The sequence below is a fragment of the Homo sapiens genome, chromosome 8 (genome assembly GCF_000001405.40).
Source record: "Homo sapiens chromosome 8, GRCh38.p14 Primary Assembly".
Classification (NCBI taxonomy): domain Eukaryota; kingdom Metazoa; phylum Chordata; class Mammalia; order Primates; family Hominidae; genus Homo; species Homo sapiens.
In genome coordinates, this window is record NC_000008.11 from 138,320,762 (window position 1) to 138,337,366 (window position 16,605).

The following is a 16,605-nucleotide window of genomic DNA, read 5'->3' on the forward strand; positions in this document are numbered from 1 at the left end:
AAATGCCAGGTGAAGGAATGAATAAGTGAAAATTCTAAAAATAAAGATTTCCCCAAACAATGGTGTTCTACAATTCAATCCTACTATACAATTCTGTGAGTGATAAAGAATCCACATGCAACTTTTGTAAAATGAGGAGTAATATTCTATAATGGGAATACAGAAATCTGTGACATTTTGTCAAAATCATTTTTCATAGCAGTATAGCATGAAACAACCGCTCTGACTCAGGGACATCTGACATGACCTAAAATACAAATCATTATTATGAAAAGTCAAACACAGACACTCTGGAGTCTGAACACCCAGGTCCGCAAAGCAAGGTTGGAAAACTTAACGCTAGTAACTTTCCCTCCCTGAGCCTCTCTTTCCTCATGGGCGAGGAAAGCCATACTGGTACCAGCCTTGCAGAATTATTGTGAGGCAGGAACAGGAGCATCCATGGCAAGCATGGGCATGGCATGATGCTCAACCCCATATTTCATTAAAGATATAATGTCTTCATTGCTATTCCCTAAGACATGTGTGAGACACAGCCTCCCACTTCCATGATCCCAGTCTATCCTCTGGCATCACAGCTGGGATGAAGCTGGGAGAAGGCATGATGCTTTTGGTGGGACACGTTTCAGGGATGCCTGCGGGATACAGTATATGATTATACCAAACAGCACACTCAAGATGTAAATGGTAGGCTATGATATGGGTGTGCCCACACGTCTGGGCGAAAATTATCTTTGAGACTTGTGAAGCAATATAGCATTTTGATTAAGAGGGTAAGCTCTGAAAATCTGCCTGCCTCTGACTGTGTGACCTTGAATAAATCACTGTCACAGTGTCCCTGTGCTCAAGGTCCTCAGGTATAAATGGGGATAGTAATGACAGTAATTTTCCTCATAGTGCCATTATAAGGATTAAATGATTTGTAATATGCAAAGTGCTTATAATGCCTGGCAAGTATTGAGTCTAAATGAGTGCTTTTAATAATAGGTATAATAAAAACAATGATGATGAAGATGGCTTTATGAAGGCACCTTGGGCACCCAGCATCACACTTGTCACATGATAATGGAATGACTCCCCTCTTTCTGTCTGTTCACCCAAGTGTCGAGGTCCCTGTGAAGAGGAGTGAAGTGTCCTTGCTTGCACCTCAGGAATTACAAGAGAGCTGCACATGCTGTGACTGCCAGCAAAGGTCACTGGAAAGTGTGAGCATGACTCTCTCAAAACCGGTCTTGTCTACATGAGCTTCAGGAGGGAACCACGGAAGGAACAATGGAGACAGGCAGACATAGACTCAAATTCCCAAGGATTCAAAACTTGCAGAGGCTCAGTTCCCTTATGTTTAAAGTATACACTGTGATATGAATGTGCAGGGGAACTTTATTTTTAAATGATAGTGAAAACATTGCATATGGCAGGGACTCTGTAAATGGTAGCCATGATCACAGCTTCCCATAAAGCATGTACACATTTCTATAAGCAGTGTTAGTGGAGACTCAAAACAGCTCCTCTGCCCCACACCTGACAAGTGTGGTGCCTACTTAAGGGCAAGTTGGCAGAGGATCAGGATATGAGCTAAGCTTCCTCTGGTCTGGCTAGGGGAGGAGACCCTCTCCTGTGCTATATTGTTCCCCAAAAGGCTGAGTCAATTTAGAGTCAAAAGTAACTCCAGATTGCTTGATACTGTAGGTTTTTCCAGTGAGTTCTGAAAAGCCCGATTAAATACTGGCAGTCCTGTCCTCGGTCTTGTCCTAAGAGTGGGACACCATGACAGAATCAGCAATAATGCAATCAGTGGCTTTCTCTCCTTTAAAAAAGCTAATGCCCCATAATCTAATGATAGTCAGCTATGGGGAAATTGCACGAGGATTTATAAATAACTAGAGAGGTGAAATATTTTCTTATATGGCCAGGTATGATAAACATAACCTGCCCTACCTCCATCTTTATGAAGAACTGCCATTTGCCTAGACCTCACCTAATGAGCTGTCACACTGCTCTTCCCAGTCTCTTTGCCAGCAGGACACCTGGCACCATCTGGAATCCCAGCCTCACATAGCTAGCCCCCACCTGACAAGGGAAGACACTGTGATGCGGAGGTGAAACTCCGCCCTAGCAGGAAGGCCTGCAAAGTCCTGCCAATAAAAGAGGCCTTGGTGTTCCAAAAGATAAGAAACAAAAAACCTATGAAATGACTAATATATTTTTACTACACAGTATGCACTCATAGGTTGACAGTATGCGCCCACCACTGTAGGACTATGAACCATTCTGTTGCATTTTATTGGCCTCAATGGCAATTACTGACATACTTTTCCAAGGAAAGTCCACTCCAATATTTCAGCAGAACTTGTCTGGATACTTTGATATAATCACAATATAATAATTCATTCAGATTCCACCAATGTTTACTGTGATGATCCTCTGCATTTCTCTACCCGCATTCTCCTTATTGACCCAGAAGGTTCTATGTGGCTCATGCTGAATTTCCTGCTCACTATCCCTAAACTTCTCTTTCCTTACAAAGCAAAGCCAGGTTTTCTCAGGGGAATTACTATACCTACCTAAAAATACCCACCCTTTGCTGACTCCCTTGCAGCTAGGAGAAACCTCATGACCCCCTCTTGGCTAATGAAATAAAAGTGCACATTGGCAGGTAAAGCAGACAGGAAATGACCCTTGGGCTGTTTGTCTCATCTCTCAATTTGTGAATATATCCAAAAATATAATTGTGGTTGTTAAAGCAGGCTTTCTCCAGCCATGAGTATTAAAAAGCCATTTGCTAAGGATGGAAGAGCAGAAGGAGAAGTCTGAGTCCTTACTGTCCCTGGTGACATGGTTGTGCTGTCTACTTCTGTGTTTCTTGTGGTATCTTGTGCTAGTTAAGCACAGGGTAAGTTATATGCTTGATTATTTGAAGCCAAATACACTTCTTACTGTGGGATCTGATTGCAGGACCCTCCTGGGCCATACTTTGTGTAGGTGAAAATTCAGAAGAGTTGACACAGACAGTCTGACTTCTCTCACTGCCTTTTTTTTCTGAAAATGGAAAACTCAGCTTTGCCTTGCATAAGAGCCATTAAAAGGTAAGAATCTAGGTTGGACTTTTGTGTAGAAGTAAAGCAGATATTTTTTATATACCATAATTGAAGGTTCCTTAATGGAAAACAAAGGCTGTCTTCATGTGGCTGAACCTAACTCCTTGGTATTCTCCAACAGGGCTTGGGGCCAAAGCCACAGGTGACAGGAAAGCACTTCTTTCTTAATTCTCTGTGCACATATCTGTCCAGGAAACTTGAGGGTAGTAAGTGGTCAAAAGCGGAAACTGCAAATCCCCGTGTCCCAGCCAACTATAAACTAGTTGCATTTTCTGCCATTTTTCAATCCTTTGTGTCTAGCACTATGTGGCATCCACATTACGAGAGATCACATTTAATTCTGATGAAAATTCTATGAATTGTACATTGTCATTCCCATATACAGCTAAGGAAGTAAGGTTTTTCAAACTCCTGCAGTCACATGACTCCTAAGTCAGGTAAGAGATCTACGTAGTATTAGATAGCATTTATTCTTCAATTTCTTTTAAATAATTGAGGAATTCCTTAAAAGAAAGTAAACATTTCCAGCCAGACCACTCACCTCTAAAAAGTAGTAATGACAAAGGGTAAAGCCATTTGCCATTTTTGCAGAATCTTAAAAGTCCAAACAAAATTATTTCTTCTTGCCACAGGAAATGTTTAAAAATATCAAACCAGTGATTTCCCTCAATTACCAAAACCACAGAAACTCAGAATGGAAAGAATAATCAGCACCTATTACTTTGATACCTGACAGTGTTCCAACCACTATGCTCACCGCTCCTAGATCATCTCATGTAATCATCAAAACCATCCCTGTATGGTGGAAACAAATATTAATATCCTTTCAGAAAAACAAGGTAAGATTGAGAGAAGGTAAACTATTTTTCCAAGTTTCTGCAACTTGTAAATTGGAGAGCCTGAGACTCAAGCCCAAGAAATCTGATTTGTGAGTGTGTGCTCGTAACGACTATACAATACACCCTATCCTGACCGGGGGAAGAATTAATTAAAAGTCCTGGTTTTATCTACAGGAAGCTGAAAAGCAACTTACATGTAACTGCTTAGCTAATGCATACAAATTCTCTTTGCATTAAGTACTGTTCAATCATTTTACATAAAAGAAAATTCAAGGAAAAATGAACTTTCCCAGGATAAGTAGTAGAGTCAGGATTCAAACAACACAGTCTGATTTCAAAGCCCATATTCTTCTTTCTTTCTCATTTTAGACACTGTGTCTCCTCTGAGGGCTAGAGGATTCCCTAGAAATCATTAACCCCCTTAGATTAAAAAAAAATCAGAAAATTTAAGTTACATAACAAATATCAAAGCTATAAATGAAAACACTGAGTTGTAGGCACTTAATAAACATTTGTCCAATCAAATTGTGTTTAAATGGAGCCTCCGCAGAAGCCCAAAAATAGTTGCTGCATGCTGATTGTGCACGCCTTCAGGTGCTTTAACTTCACATTGGTATCTTGAAATTGGCCTTGGTGGGAGTATTTATAGCATGCAAATGGACAAACATCATAAATCTTTGTTTTGAAGAGCCAGTTTTTACACATCTATCAGCACCACTGCTCCACCTCCTTCCATCACCACCACCGCTCCATTCTGTTAACCAAAGGAAATCTGAAACCCAAACAGAGGAAGTAAATGGGCGATCTGGAAAGATTTCAAGAAAATTACTGTTGGGTTGGACTCAAACTGTTGAGCCTTCAGGAAATATATATATATTGCTCAAAGAATCCTCATTGAATAAAGCTAGCTAATTAAGCTCTTACAAGCTGCAGGGAAGAATGACCTCTATAAAATGTATGCCTTTTGTACATAAACTTGGAAGTCTGAACAGAATGGCTATAACTTCTCCCATTGCCTCCTCTTCTCGTTCATATTAAAACAAAACAAAGCAAGTGAACAGCATTGGCAACAACCCTAATGGTGCTTTTTGTGTCAACTTAAAGCAAACTAACTCTCTGAGCTTCAGTTTTCTCATTTGCAAATGAAGATTTCAGTTATCTTCTGGAGTTGATATAGAAATCAAAATCAATGTGTGTATAGCAAAACTGAGCTTTAACGAATGGTGGGTATTATTACTGCTATGGTTATCTTTGCATATCTACCCTAAATACATTCATCAGCAAATGTCTGTACTCCTAGAAGGAGACCCCTTAAGGAACTCAGACCAGCAACACAAGTAGCTTAGTTGGAGTGACTGTATATAAAAAAAATATGAGATTGCTGAGCTGCTGGGAAACTGAAAAGTGCTTCCCCATCCCTGCATCTCCCTTTGCTGCTTTTATTCATATGGGCTGATGGACCTGTTGTTCCTATCTAATGAGTCAGCCCAGATGGGGTTCTAGTTTGCATGAGTGGCCATGTGTCAATGTTGTGCTCAAAGAAGTTGCTGCTGCTGGTCTGTCATCCAGGGAGGTACCATTTGCAGGTAAAACGAAAGTTCCTTCTAGAGAGCCAATATGAAACATCATTACAAGATGTCAGATACAGTGGATGCACAACAGGTGTCAGTCCTCTTCCCTTTGGATTCAAGGGAGCATTTGATTTTCTTTGCATTTGTATGGGTTGATTAAATGAGCTTGGTTAAAGCAGGCCTTCAAGCGACTTGCACAGCTTGAAATGTCACGAGTAATTTAAAACCTCAGACCAGAAAATTTGTCGTGCAATATCACACTGTGACAGGAGTTTCTGCAGAGAGAATTTTTCTGATTGGCAAAACCAGAACCTGCAACCAGTTCCAAGCAGTCAGAAGGTGGGAGAAGAGTTGAAAAGCAAAACAACTCACAAGTCTTTCATGCAGAAGGATCAAAGGCATGAAGTGAAAACATATGATAGAATCCAGGTGCTCAGAAAGACCAGGTTTTAAATGCTGGATTTGCAGTTTACTAATGGTGCATGACTCCAAACAATTCATTTTACCTCTCTGAGCATTTGGTTTCTCATGTTAACATTTTTTATGGGGAAGAAATGAGATAAGACACGTACAACACCTGGTACAGTGTAGGAGACACAGTAAGCACCAAGTCCTTCTAAAACTGTAATTTAATTATTATTATAATTATGACATTCATATGTTGCTAATGGAAAGTAGACACAGAAAAGGGGAAGAAGTCTTCCAAAGATTTGCAAAGTCTGTGCTAGATCTCATGACTGCTAATGTTGGCCCATCATCCAATTCATTATACCCATATAATTGAACACAATTTAATTCTAGGATATATATTAATATGAAGTGATAAGAAAATACTTTCTACAAGTAGGCTGTTACCTGATTGTTCCTGTTACCTTATTGTTCCTTTCAGGTACTCTGTAAATATCAATAATAAGCAGAATATCAGAGTGAAAACAAAGGAAGCCACCAGTTCTTGCAAGTCAACCGTGTGTCAGGCAAGACTGTTGGTGATTTACATTCATTGTCACATTCTATCTGGACAATATTCAAAAAAGATTCTTTCAATATTCCTCCTCCAATATTCCTATGAGGAACCTGAAGTTCGGAACAAAAATTATCTTGCTCATAGACTGTAGCTTACAAGAAAAACTGGGATGCAAGGTCATGGTTATGAAACTCCAAAGACAAAAATATTCTCAAAATTTGTCAAGTCATACATAATGGCTACCCACTGAAATGTCACTTGGGTACATAAAATGACCCATAATAGCATGAAGAGTGCAAACATTCACAAGTCATGCCAGTAATCGTGATGGAAAAAGCCATTGCAAGCTTTGTGTCCACATCATTCAAATTCTTGCTGCTCAGCTATGCTCAACTGTAAATTGAACATTGCTGAGGACAAGGCACCAAAACAGTGGCTGAGAACACAAGAAGGAATGATGGACTAGTCCCTGACTTGGAGGAGCTTACAGTCTAACAGAGAACAAAACCAATTTCACAAATTATAATCGTAATCATAGGAAACCCCTCAGGACTTCCAAGGGGGTAAGAAAAAGAGTGAGGTTAGCTCAGAGTGGGAACAGATTGCCTTTAGTAGAAGACAGGAGTTGATTTAAGGAAGAAGCAAATTTAAAACTAAAAGTCCCTACAAGGTAGTAGAACATATGAGAGAGACTTCATATTGCAAGAAATAGCCAAGAGTACAAAGCCAATAAAAACAGCAAAATGGCTGGAGCAAAAATTGCTATCTTTGATGTCAGTAATTTTCATCAGGGCCTTATTATCATTCTTGTCTCGGGGAACAAGCCTAAAACTGCATTCAGTGTTTTTATATTCCTTGGAGAACCCCAGCATACTTCTTCAGTTTTAGAATGTAGGCCATGACCCAGAGATGATTGAGATGCTGGTAGACAGAGATGCCCTGTAAAGAAATTTTGTGCATGTTGCATATCTCTACACATGAGCTCACCTGACTTATTCAGGTTTCACCCATTTTACAACTCTAAATGAATGCTGATGAAGCTTACATGTCATTTTGGCTCACTCCTAAGAACAGGTAGGTCTTGACCAGGCTGGGGAAGCCGGGACAGCATTTAACCTATTTATGCCTGAGGTTGCAATTTTTTGAAATTTTGTGATCAGACCTTGGCGATGACCTTGAGCAGCAGGACATAAATAACTCCCACATGCTTAGCTTTCCAATAATGGAACACTAGGCATAAATGGCTAAGGTGGAGGAACAGCTTGGGGAAATGCGGGAGGGCAAGTCCTAGAGAGCATTGTAGGAACCCTGGGGAGTTGACCTTGGCCAGAGTATGGGATGGGTAACAAGGAAGTGCAAACAGACATTTCCTTCCCAACCATTTACTCTAATAAGTGTTACTATAAAAATAGATGGACCGAGCTACCTTTCACCAGAGGATATAAGTGTAGTGGTTAAGGGAATCAACTGTGAAATCAAACAGAGCTAGGTTTGAGTCATCACCTCCCAGCTTAGGAAAGTTACTTAACTTCTGTGAGCTACTATTCCCTCCTCTGTAACATGCAGATGATCAAAGATCCAATTCATAAGGTTGAGTGAGGGAGACATACAAAAGTTTGCCACAGCCCAGAGAAAGTCTTCAATAGTTATGAGACTATTTGATGCAAGGTGCATGTATATACTGTATGTACTCAGAAAATGCATGATGCCTAACTTATCCTTTTGGATGATGTCATGTTCTCCTCTGTTTCCTTTGGAAACAAACAAAACACCCACAAATAATATAGTACAAGTAACGGTTTATGCATGGGCTACAATGACAGGTAAAGTAGGCCACCGAAAACTCCATAAACAAACAGCCACATAGGTGATCGATTGAAAAGCAGACAGTGAGGGACAGAGATAAGTAGATGTTGGGTAGGTAAATAGGAGATACAGATGGATGGATGGGCAGATGGAAAGACAGGTAGAGAGAAATGGAGAGAGAGAGACGATAGAGGAACAAACACACTCACCAACTGTTTTGTCACAGAAAAGATCTCTGACCAATTTCCAGCTCCTTCCACCAGCATGTGTCTCTTTTGAGAATAAACCATCATAACCCTGAATCATGATTCCCTCTCTTGGCTCCCTGTGTCTCTTAATTGCTTTTTGATATGAAAACTCCCAGGTGTCTGAAGTCATTCTGGAGATTTCAAGGGATTTCATTATGTGTGTAGGAATTTCCATTTCCTCATCAATCAAATCTTTATTTCTGCAAAACTGTTCAGGCAGAACAACAACAAAAAAGTTCCCTTGGCTCCATTTGACTAGGAGATGTATTCTGTAATTACAATGGGGGAGTGTGTTTTAACCAAAAGATCACACATGCAGCAAATTGTCTTTGCAGAACTCCTCACTGGCTGAAGTGAGGAGCAGGTAGAGTGAGGATTCTGCGGTTAGACAGACATGGGGAAGCTGTAAACTCACCTCACAGCTTTGTTGTGAGGGTTCACGAAGCAGTAGGTGGGAGAACTCAGTCCCACATCTGGTAAGCTACTGCAACTTTGGTTATAGTTGTTAATATTAATTCAAACATTATTATAGCTCCAGAAAAAGCCCTGGGTTCCATGTAAGAAGATCTGGGTCAGGAAGTTTGATAGATGTCACTATATAAATATTAACGAATTGAATAGAAGGGAGAAGGGAGAGAGTCCCAATGTTTAAGAAAAGAATGCAGAGACTGCTTGATAAAGTTATGTTGAACAGAACATAAGAATGCTGGCTTGCATCTGGGCATGCTCTCAACCAGCTAGTTAGTGGCAAGCTGTCTGATGGGCTTGTTCTTGCCCAGTCTCTCCAGTCTCCCCTTCCCACCCCAACTCACTCCTCACTCATACCTTTTCCTGACGATAATGCCCAGGCGGCTGCTCTTATTTCTGAAGTAAAGCACTGGCTGCTTATTTTTACTATCAATTGCCTTTTCTTATATGTCTTCCTTAACCTGTAATCAAAGTGTCGTGAGTTCAAAGTTGTGGCTGCTGCTTTATGTGGTTCAGGGCAATGTCAGTCTCTGGTGGACAGAAAGCCACCATTTCCCTGGGCTTTCTTTGTCTTTGAGTACCGGGAAAAGCAAACACCCAAGTTCTGCAAGAACAGAGCCTAGAAAAGTCCAGACACCTCTGAATCCACAGGCACATGGCAGGCCCACAAAGAATACTCATCTCAGGATAACAATCTTGCTGAAACTTTTCTTGCTCAAAGGCACTGCCCTTTTCAAATAAAAATAGTACAACTGCTGGCTACCAAGCATGGAATCACTGCCCTGTGCTGCCGCCGAGTCCAGGAGGACACCTTATCTCTAGACTTCAGCAAACCCCCTAAGCATGCTCATCCTCAGATTATTAATGAAGGAAGTCAACTCACAGAGGTTAAGTGGCTTTTCCCTAAGCTGTGATACTGATAATTAGCCAAGCAGGATCCAAGGCAGCTCCAACCACTCTTACAACCCTGTGCTCTCATTACCTCCCCTCTGCACTTTTTCTGAGCAGGACTATATTTTGGAAGGTCCCACATTTCAGGCAATCAATGATCTCCAGAATAAGCTGTCGGCCACTCTCATATAAATGTACATTTTTTTTTTTTTTGAGATGGAGTTTCACTCTTGTTGCCCAGGCTGGAGTACAGTGGCATGATCTCAGCTCACTTCAATCTCCGCCTCCAGGGTTCAAGCGATTCTCCTGCCTCAGCCTCCCGAGTAGCTGGGATTACAGGCATGCACCACCGCACCCAGCTAATTTTGTATTTTTAGTAGAGATGGGGTTTCTCCATGTTGGTCAGGCTGATCTTGAACTCCCGACTTCAGGTGATCCACCTGCCTTGGCCTCCCAAAAATGCATTATTTTTAGTCCTGCCTCCCTGGCATGCCACATATGGTAGGTGCTAGGAAACAATTTCCAACTTAATGCAAAGTTCCAAAAACATGAAGTACTGACTAATGAATGGCTCCAATCACAGACACATTATTTGGAAAAGAAATATATTTGGGTGTGTATTTCGTCATCTGACTCAGGCATTCAAGTTGCTAATCAAAGGTCTTCGCAGCATTTTTATCAATAATGTGTAAACCCCAAATAGTTTCTTTTATGATACAAGGCTTCAAGGAATATAATGGCTCTTCTATTTTTAGGATGACAGAAAATAGATTAATTCCTTTTTAAAAACAGGTCTGAAAATAGTCATTATCCCAGATTATAGATGAGGAAAGAGGTCCAGAGAAGTTGACTGACTTCTCCAAGCCGTACAGTAAAACAGTGGTGAGGCTGGGTTTAAAACTAAGGTCTGTCAGACTCTTTGAGCCACAAAACCCTACACTACAGAAAGGTCTTCCAAAGATAAGCACAACACAGTCAACTCTTAGCAACCTCACCTGATGACTAATTAGTGGAGGACTGAAATAAAGTCTTTTCTCTGGGGTGAACAGTAGCATCCCCAAAGCCTGCATTTTGCTTGTTTGGTTAGTTTAGTTTCTACTTCTTTTATAACAGGCTAAATAAAGTTGGAGTAAAATAATCCAAATACATTTATCTAGGATTTGGAAAAGGATTCTGTGAGAACTCTTAGATGGGCCTGAGCATCTGGCCCTGTTGTGTCCATGATGGGCTGCTCTTCTGCGAATGGAGAGCCCCCAGGTGATATGGTCAAAAGGTCCCAGAACCACCCCTAACACCAATCCACATGTGACCTTAGGCAAGTCAGTTAATGTCTCCAGGACTCTCTGAGTAAATTCCCCAAATGAAAAGACTGAACTACTTATGTTATGAAACCCAGTGCTACATTCTTATTTGGTTTACATTCTTGTTTGGTTTGGGTTTACACCTGGATCATCTGGCTCTGAGTCCAAGGCTTAGGATAGTACATCCCCTGGAGACCAGAGGATACTTCATCTTCAGTCCAAGAGTAGTTCCTTTGGTCTTCAAGGAAAGGTCATGCTTGCATTGCATCAGGACCAGGTAAGGCTATGTGGACACCCGCTTCTTCATGAGCCAATTTCCATGGCCCATGATGATCTCTGCTTCCAGTTTTAGAAAGATGTTGCCACTCTTAGGAGATCACCGAGGGCTTTCTCTTGGGGAGGAAAAAATATTTGCGTTTGCTACAATACTGCAATTACTTTAATGGACACTGCACATAAATTATATCATTCAGCCCTCCCAGTCATACAATTAAGATGCCATATCCCAATTTTCAGAAGATGAACCTGAAATTCAAGGTAAAACAAAGTCACGTGTGGATTTAGTAGACCTGGGATTTGGACCTAGACCTGGTTGCAAAGATCACACTCTTCCTCACTACCCCTCCATCTCACCTCCATTCAAGCAAACGGGTGGATGATGAGGCTCCCCACTGTGACAGGTGAGGAGAAACCCGGTGAAAAGCAGGGGCGTGTGGTGCATTTAGGGGGAAGGAGAAGAGTGAACACGGAGTGCAGGAAACCCGGGCAGGATTTAGGGGCCTACGCAACTCTAAACCATTTTGACATGAGTCCTAACGCACCAGAGAAGAAATGAAAGTTGTTGAGTTACACCCAAACGAAACAGCTGGCGGCGCTTTCTCAACATCTGTGTGGTGCTTCTTCAGGGAGTTGGTGGAAGTGAGATGACCTCACATAAAGCAGGGTTGGGTGTTTTGTGCTGAGAGAGTGCTGACCAGGGTGCTGTCCTCCCCTAACAATCCTAACAGAGGACTACACAGCTGGGATTTGGAAAGCGCACACACACACACACACACACACACGCTTGTATTTTAGATTAACAGTCCTCCAACCAACCTTAAAATATTTGGGAAAAAAATCACATTTAGAATGTTATTAAATCAAAGGAGATTCTGGCTTAGTGACTTGTGAAGAGATAAAGGAACATCCAGTCAGGAACCTTCTGTGCTGTGTAGGGATTAGCCTCAAAACCAATTCATGCAACAAAGATCATCTCCACAGAGCCCTGCAACACTTGCCCTGGGACAACTAAACCTCGGACCCTGTTTGCTCAACACAGTGGCATCTGCCTTTTACTAGGCTCTGTCTCTGAGGTTGGGTCTTTCATCCTATTTTCTGATAGCATCTTGGTCACTTGCTTCCTACTCCCTAGGCATCTGCCTTTGTACCAGGTATGCTGTGTTGCTGGTGTGCAAATGCATCATGCCCTTCCACATTTCCACATCTTTGCACATGCCACTCCCCTAAAAGGCTCCCTCCCTGACCTCATGGGAAGCCTTCCCTGACGTCCAGCAGAATAGGCATTGCCCATCCTCTGTTGTCTAAGGGCCGGGGGCTCCCCACTGTTTTCTAAAGATAATACCACATCACCACTGCTTGATTTCCAGGCAGGTTTTCCTTAGCTAGACCTGAGCACTTTGACAGCAAGAGTCATATCATGCTCCTTCTTTCTGTCCAAAATCCCAGCACAGTGCCTAACATCCAGCAGTCCCTCAAGACATGAATTGAGAAAGGATTTATAAGATATTAATTAACAATTAATATCTGCTTAACCCAAGATCCTGATTCAGACTGTGAGCTCCTTGCTACGAGAACTGTTGCTTGACTGATAACTGCAGACTGTTCAACCTACTTATTTGAGGAATGAGTGCATGATCCATTTTAGTGGCCAGAATCTAACCACTGACCTCCTGATCCTGACCTCCATGTCTCTTTTATTTGAGGGGAGGGGGGAACGGAGGAGTCTCGCTCTGTCTCCCAGGCTGGAGTGCAGTGGCATGATCTTGGATCACTGCAACATCTGCCTCCCAGGTTCAAGTGATTCTTCTGCCTCAGCCTCCCGAGTAGCTGGGATTACATGCACACAACACTATGCCCAGATAATTTCTGTATTTTTAGTAGAGACGGGGTTTTGCCATGTTTGCCAGGCTGGTCTCAAACTCCTGACCTCAGGTGATCCACCCTCCTTGGCCTCCCAAAGTGCTGGGATTACAGGCATGAGACACCATGTCCGGCCCCATCTCTCTCTTATTGACCCACGACAGAAGGGTGGGGCTAGAATTGCTTGCTCTGGCAATACTTCTACATACCCACATCGCTCAGACTTTGGCCTACAGCAAGTGGCTGTAGAACCCCCTTAGCAAATATTCACTTATTCACTTGTTTTGTTTCTTTGTTTTCTTTTTTAAAAACTTTTATTTTAAGTTCAGGGTTACATGTGCAGGTTTGTTACACAGGAAAACTTGTATCATGGGGATTTGTCCCACAGATTATTTCATCACCATGGTATTAAGCCCAGTACCCATTAGTTATTTTTCCTGATATTCTTCCCACTCCCAACCTCTACCTTCCCATAGGGCCCAGTGTATCGTGTTCCCCTCTACGTGTCCACATATTCTCATCATCTAACTTCTACTTATAAGTGAGAACATGTGGTATTTGGTTTTCTATTCCTGCATTAGTTTGGTATGAATAATGGCCCCCAGCTCCATCCATGTCCCTGCAAAGAACATGATCTTGTTCTTTTTTATGGCTGCATAGTATTCTACGGTGTATATGAACCACATTTTCTTTATCCAATCTACCATTGATGGGCATTTAGGTTGATTCCATCTCTTTGCTATTGCGAATAGTGCTGCAGTGAACATACGCATACATGTGTCTTTACAACAGAACTACTCAATTGTTCATAAGCAATCAGAAAAAGGTAAAGGATTCAGTGTGTCCAGCAGAATCTTATTTTTGTTTAAAATGCTGACATCAATGCATTTATAATCCTTATGCATGCAGAAGAAAAGTCTACATTTTCTAAAACTTTGGTAATGATTCTGAGGAATACATTTTTTCTTATTCTGCATTTTCTAGTTTGTTTAAATGAGTATACTGTGATTTTTTGTTCAACAGCACAAATGTCTCAAATGTAATACAGATATCAGAAAGTGCCATGCCCAGCTCTAGACATGACCTACAGGGCAGGATTCTGAAAAGGAGTCTGTTCTTGGGAATCCCATGCCCATCGGAGAACTCGAGGGATTTTCAGAGTCCCACAGAGGTGAGAGGAAGAACCCGCTGCACTCAGTACTTAAAACGATTCCTCATTCTTCTCGCCCAGCACCCTCATCATCTTATTATTTTCTTTGTGTAAATTAAAAGAGTTGTGCAATATGGCATACGTAATTTTAAAACCCTAAATAGTCATACAAATTATCTACAAAGAAAATGGAAAACAAAAAAAGGCAGGGGTTGCAATCCTAGTCTCAGATAAAACAGACTTTAAACCAACAAAGATCAAAAGAGACAAAGAAGTCCATTACATAATGGTAAAGGGATCAATTCAACAAGAAGATCTAACTATCCTAAATATATATGCACCCAATACAGGAGCACCCAGATTCATAAAGCAAGTACTTAGAGACTACAAAGAGACTTAGGCTCCCAAACAATAATAATGGGAGACTTTAACACCCCACTGTCAACATTAGACAGTTCAACGAGACAGAAAGTTAACAAGGATATCCAGGAATTGAGCTCAGCTCTGCACCAAGCAGACCTAATAGACATCTACAGAACTCTCCACCCCAAATCAACAGAATATACACTCTTCTCAGCACCACACCACACTTATTCCAAAATTGACCACATAGTTGGAAGTAAAGCACTCCTCAGCAAATGTGAAAGAACAGAAATTATCACAAACTGTCTCTCAGACCACAGTGCAATCAAACTAGAACTCAGGATTAAGAAACTCACTCAAAACCGCTCAACTACATGGAAACTGAACAACCTGCTCCTGAATGACTACTGGGTACATAATGAAATGAAGGCAGAAATAAAGATGTTCTTTGAAACCCACGAGAACAAAGACACAACATACCAGAATCTCTGGGACACATTCAAAGCAGTGTGTAGAGGGAAATTTATAGCACTAAATGCCCACAAGAGAAAGCAGGAAAGATCTAAAATTGACACCCTAACATCACAATTAAAAGAACTAGAGAAGCAAGAGCAAACACATTCAAAAGCTAGCAGAAGGCAAGAAATAACTAAGATCAGAGCAGAACTGAAGGAAATAGAGACATAAAAAGCCCTTCAAAAAATCAATGAATCCAGGAGCTGGTTTTTTGAAAAGACCAACAAAATTGATAGACCTCTAGCAAGACTAATAAAGAAGAAAAGAAAGAAGAATCAAATAGACGCAATAAAAAATAACAAAGGGGATATCACCACTGATCCCACAGAAATAAAAACTACCATCAGAGAATACTATAAACACCTCTACGCAAATAAACTAGAAAATCTAGAAGAAATGGATACATTCCTCGACACATACACCCTCCCAAGACTAAACCAGGAAGAAGTTGAATCTCTGAATAGACCAAAAACAGGCTCTCAAATTGAGGCAATAACTAATAGCTTACCAACCAAAAAAAGTCCAGGACCAGATGGATTCACAGCCAAATTCCACCAGAGGTACAAGGAGGAGCTGCTACCATTCCTTCTGAAATTATTACAATTAATAGAAAAAGAGGGAATCCTCCCTAACTCATTTTATGAGGCCAGCATCATCCTGATACCAAAGCCTGGCAGAGACACAACAAAAAAAGAGAATTTTAGACAAATATCCCTGATGAACATCGATGCAAAAATCCTCAATAAAATACTGGCAAACCGAATCCAGCAGCACATCAAAAAGCTTATCCACCATGATCAAGTGGGCTTCATCCCTGGGATGCAAGGCTGGTTCAACATAGGCAAATCAATAAACGTAATCCAGCATATAAACAGAACCAAAGACAAAAACCATATGATTATCTCAACAGATGCAGAAAAGGCCTTTGACAAAATTCAACAACCCTTCATGCTAAAAACTCTCAATAAATTAGGTATTGATGGGACGTATCTCAAAATAATAAGAGCTATCTATGACAAACCCACAGACAATATCATACTGAATGGGCAAAAACTGGAAGCATTCCCTTTGAAAACTGGCACAAGACAGGGATGCCCTCTCTCACCACTCCTATTCAACATAGTGTTGGAAGTTCTGGCCAGGGCAATTAGGCAGGAGAAGGAAATAAAGGGTATTCAATTAGGAAAAGAGGAAGTCAAATTGTCCCTGTTTGCAGATGACATCATTGTATATCTAGAAAACCCCACTGTC

The 16,605-nt window shown here is 41.2% G+C and overlaps 1 protein-coding gene across 14 annotated transcripts in view; it reads right to left on the bottom strand.

The window, feature by feature from the left end:
• FAM135B (family with sequence similarity 135 member B) overlaps positions 1 to 16,605 on the bottom strand; it is a 367,708-nt gene that overhangs the window by 190,739 nt on the left and 160,364 nt on the right. The gene's annotated exons all lie outside the window — the stretch shown is intronic.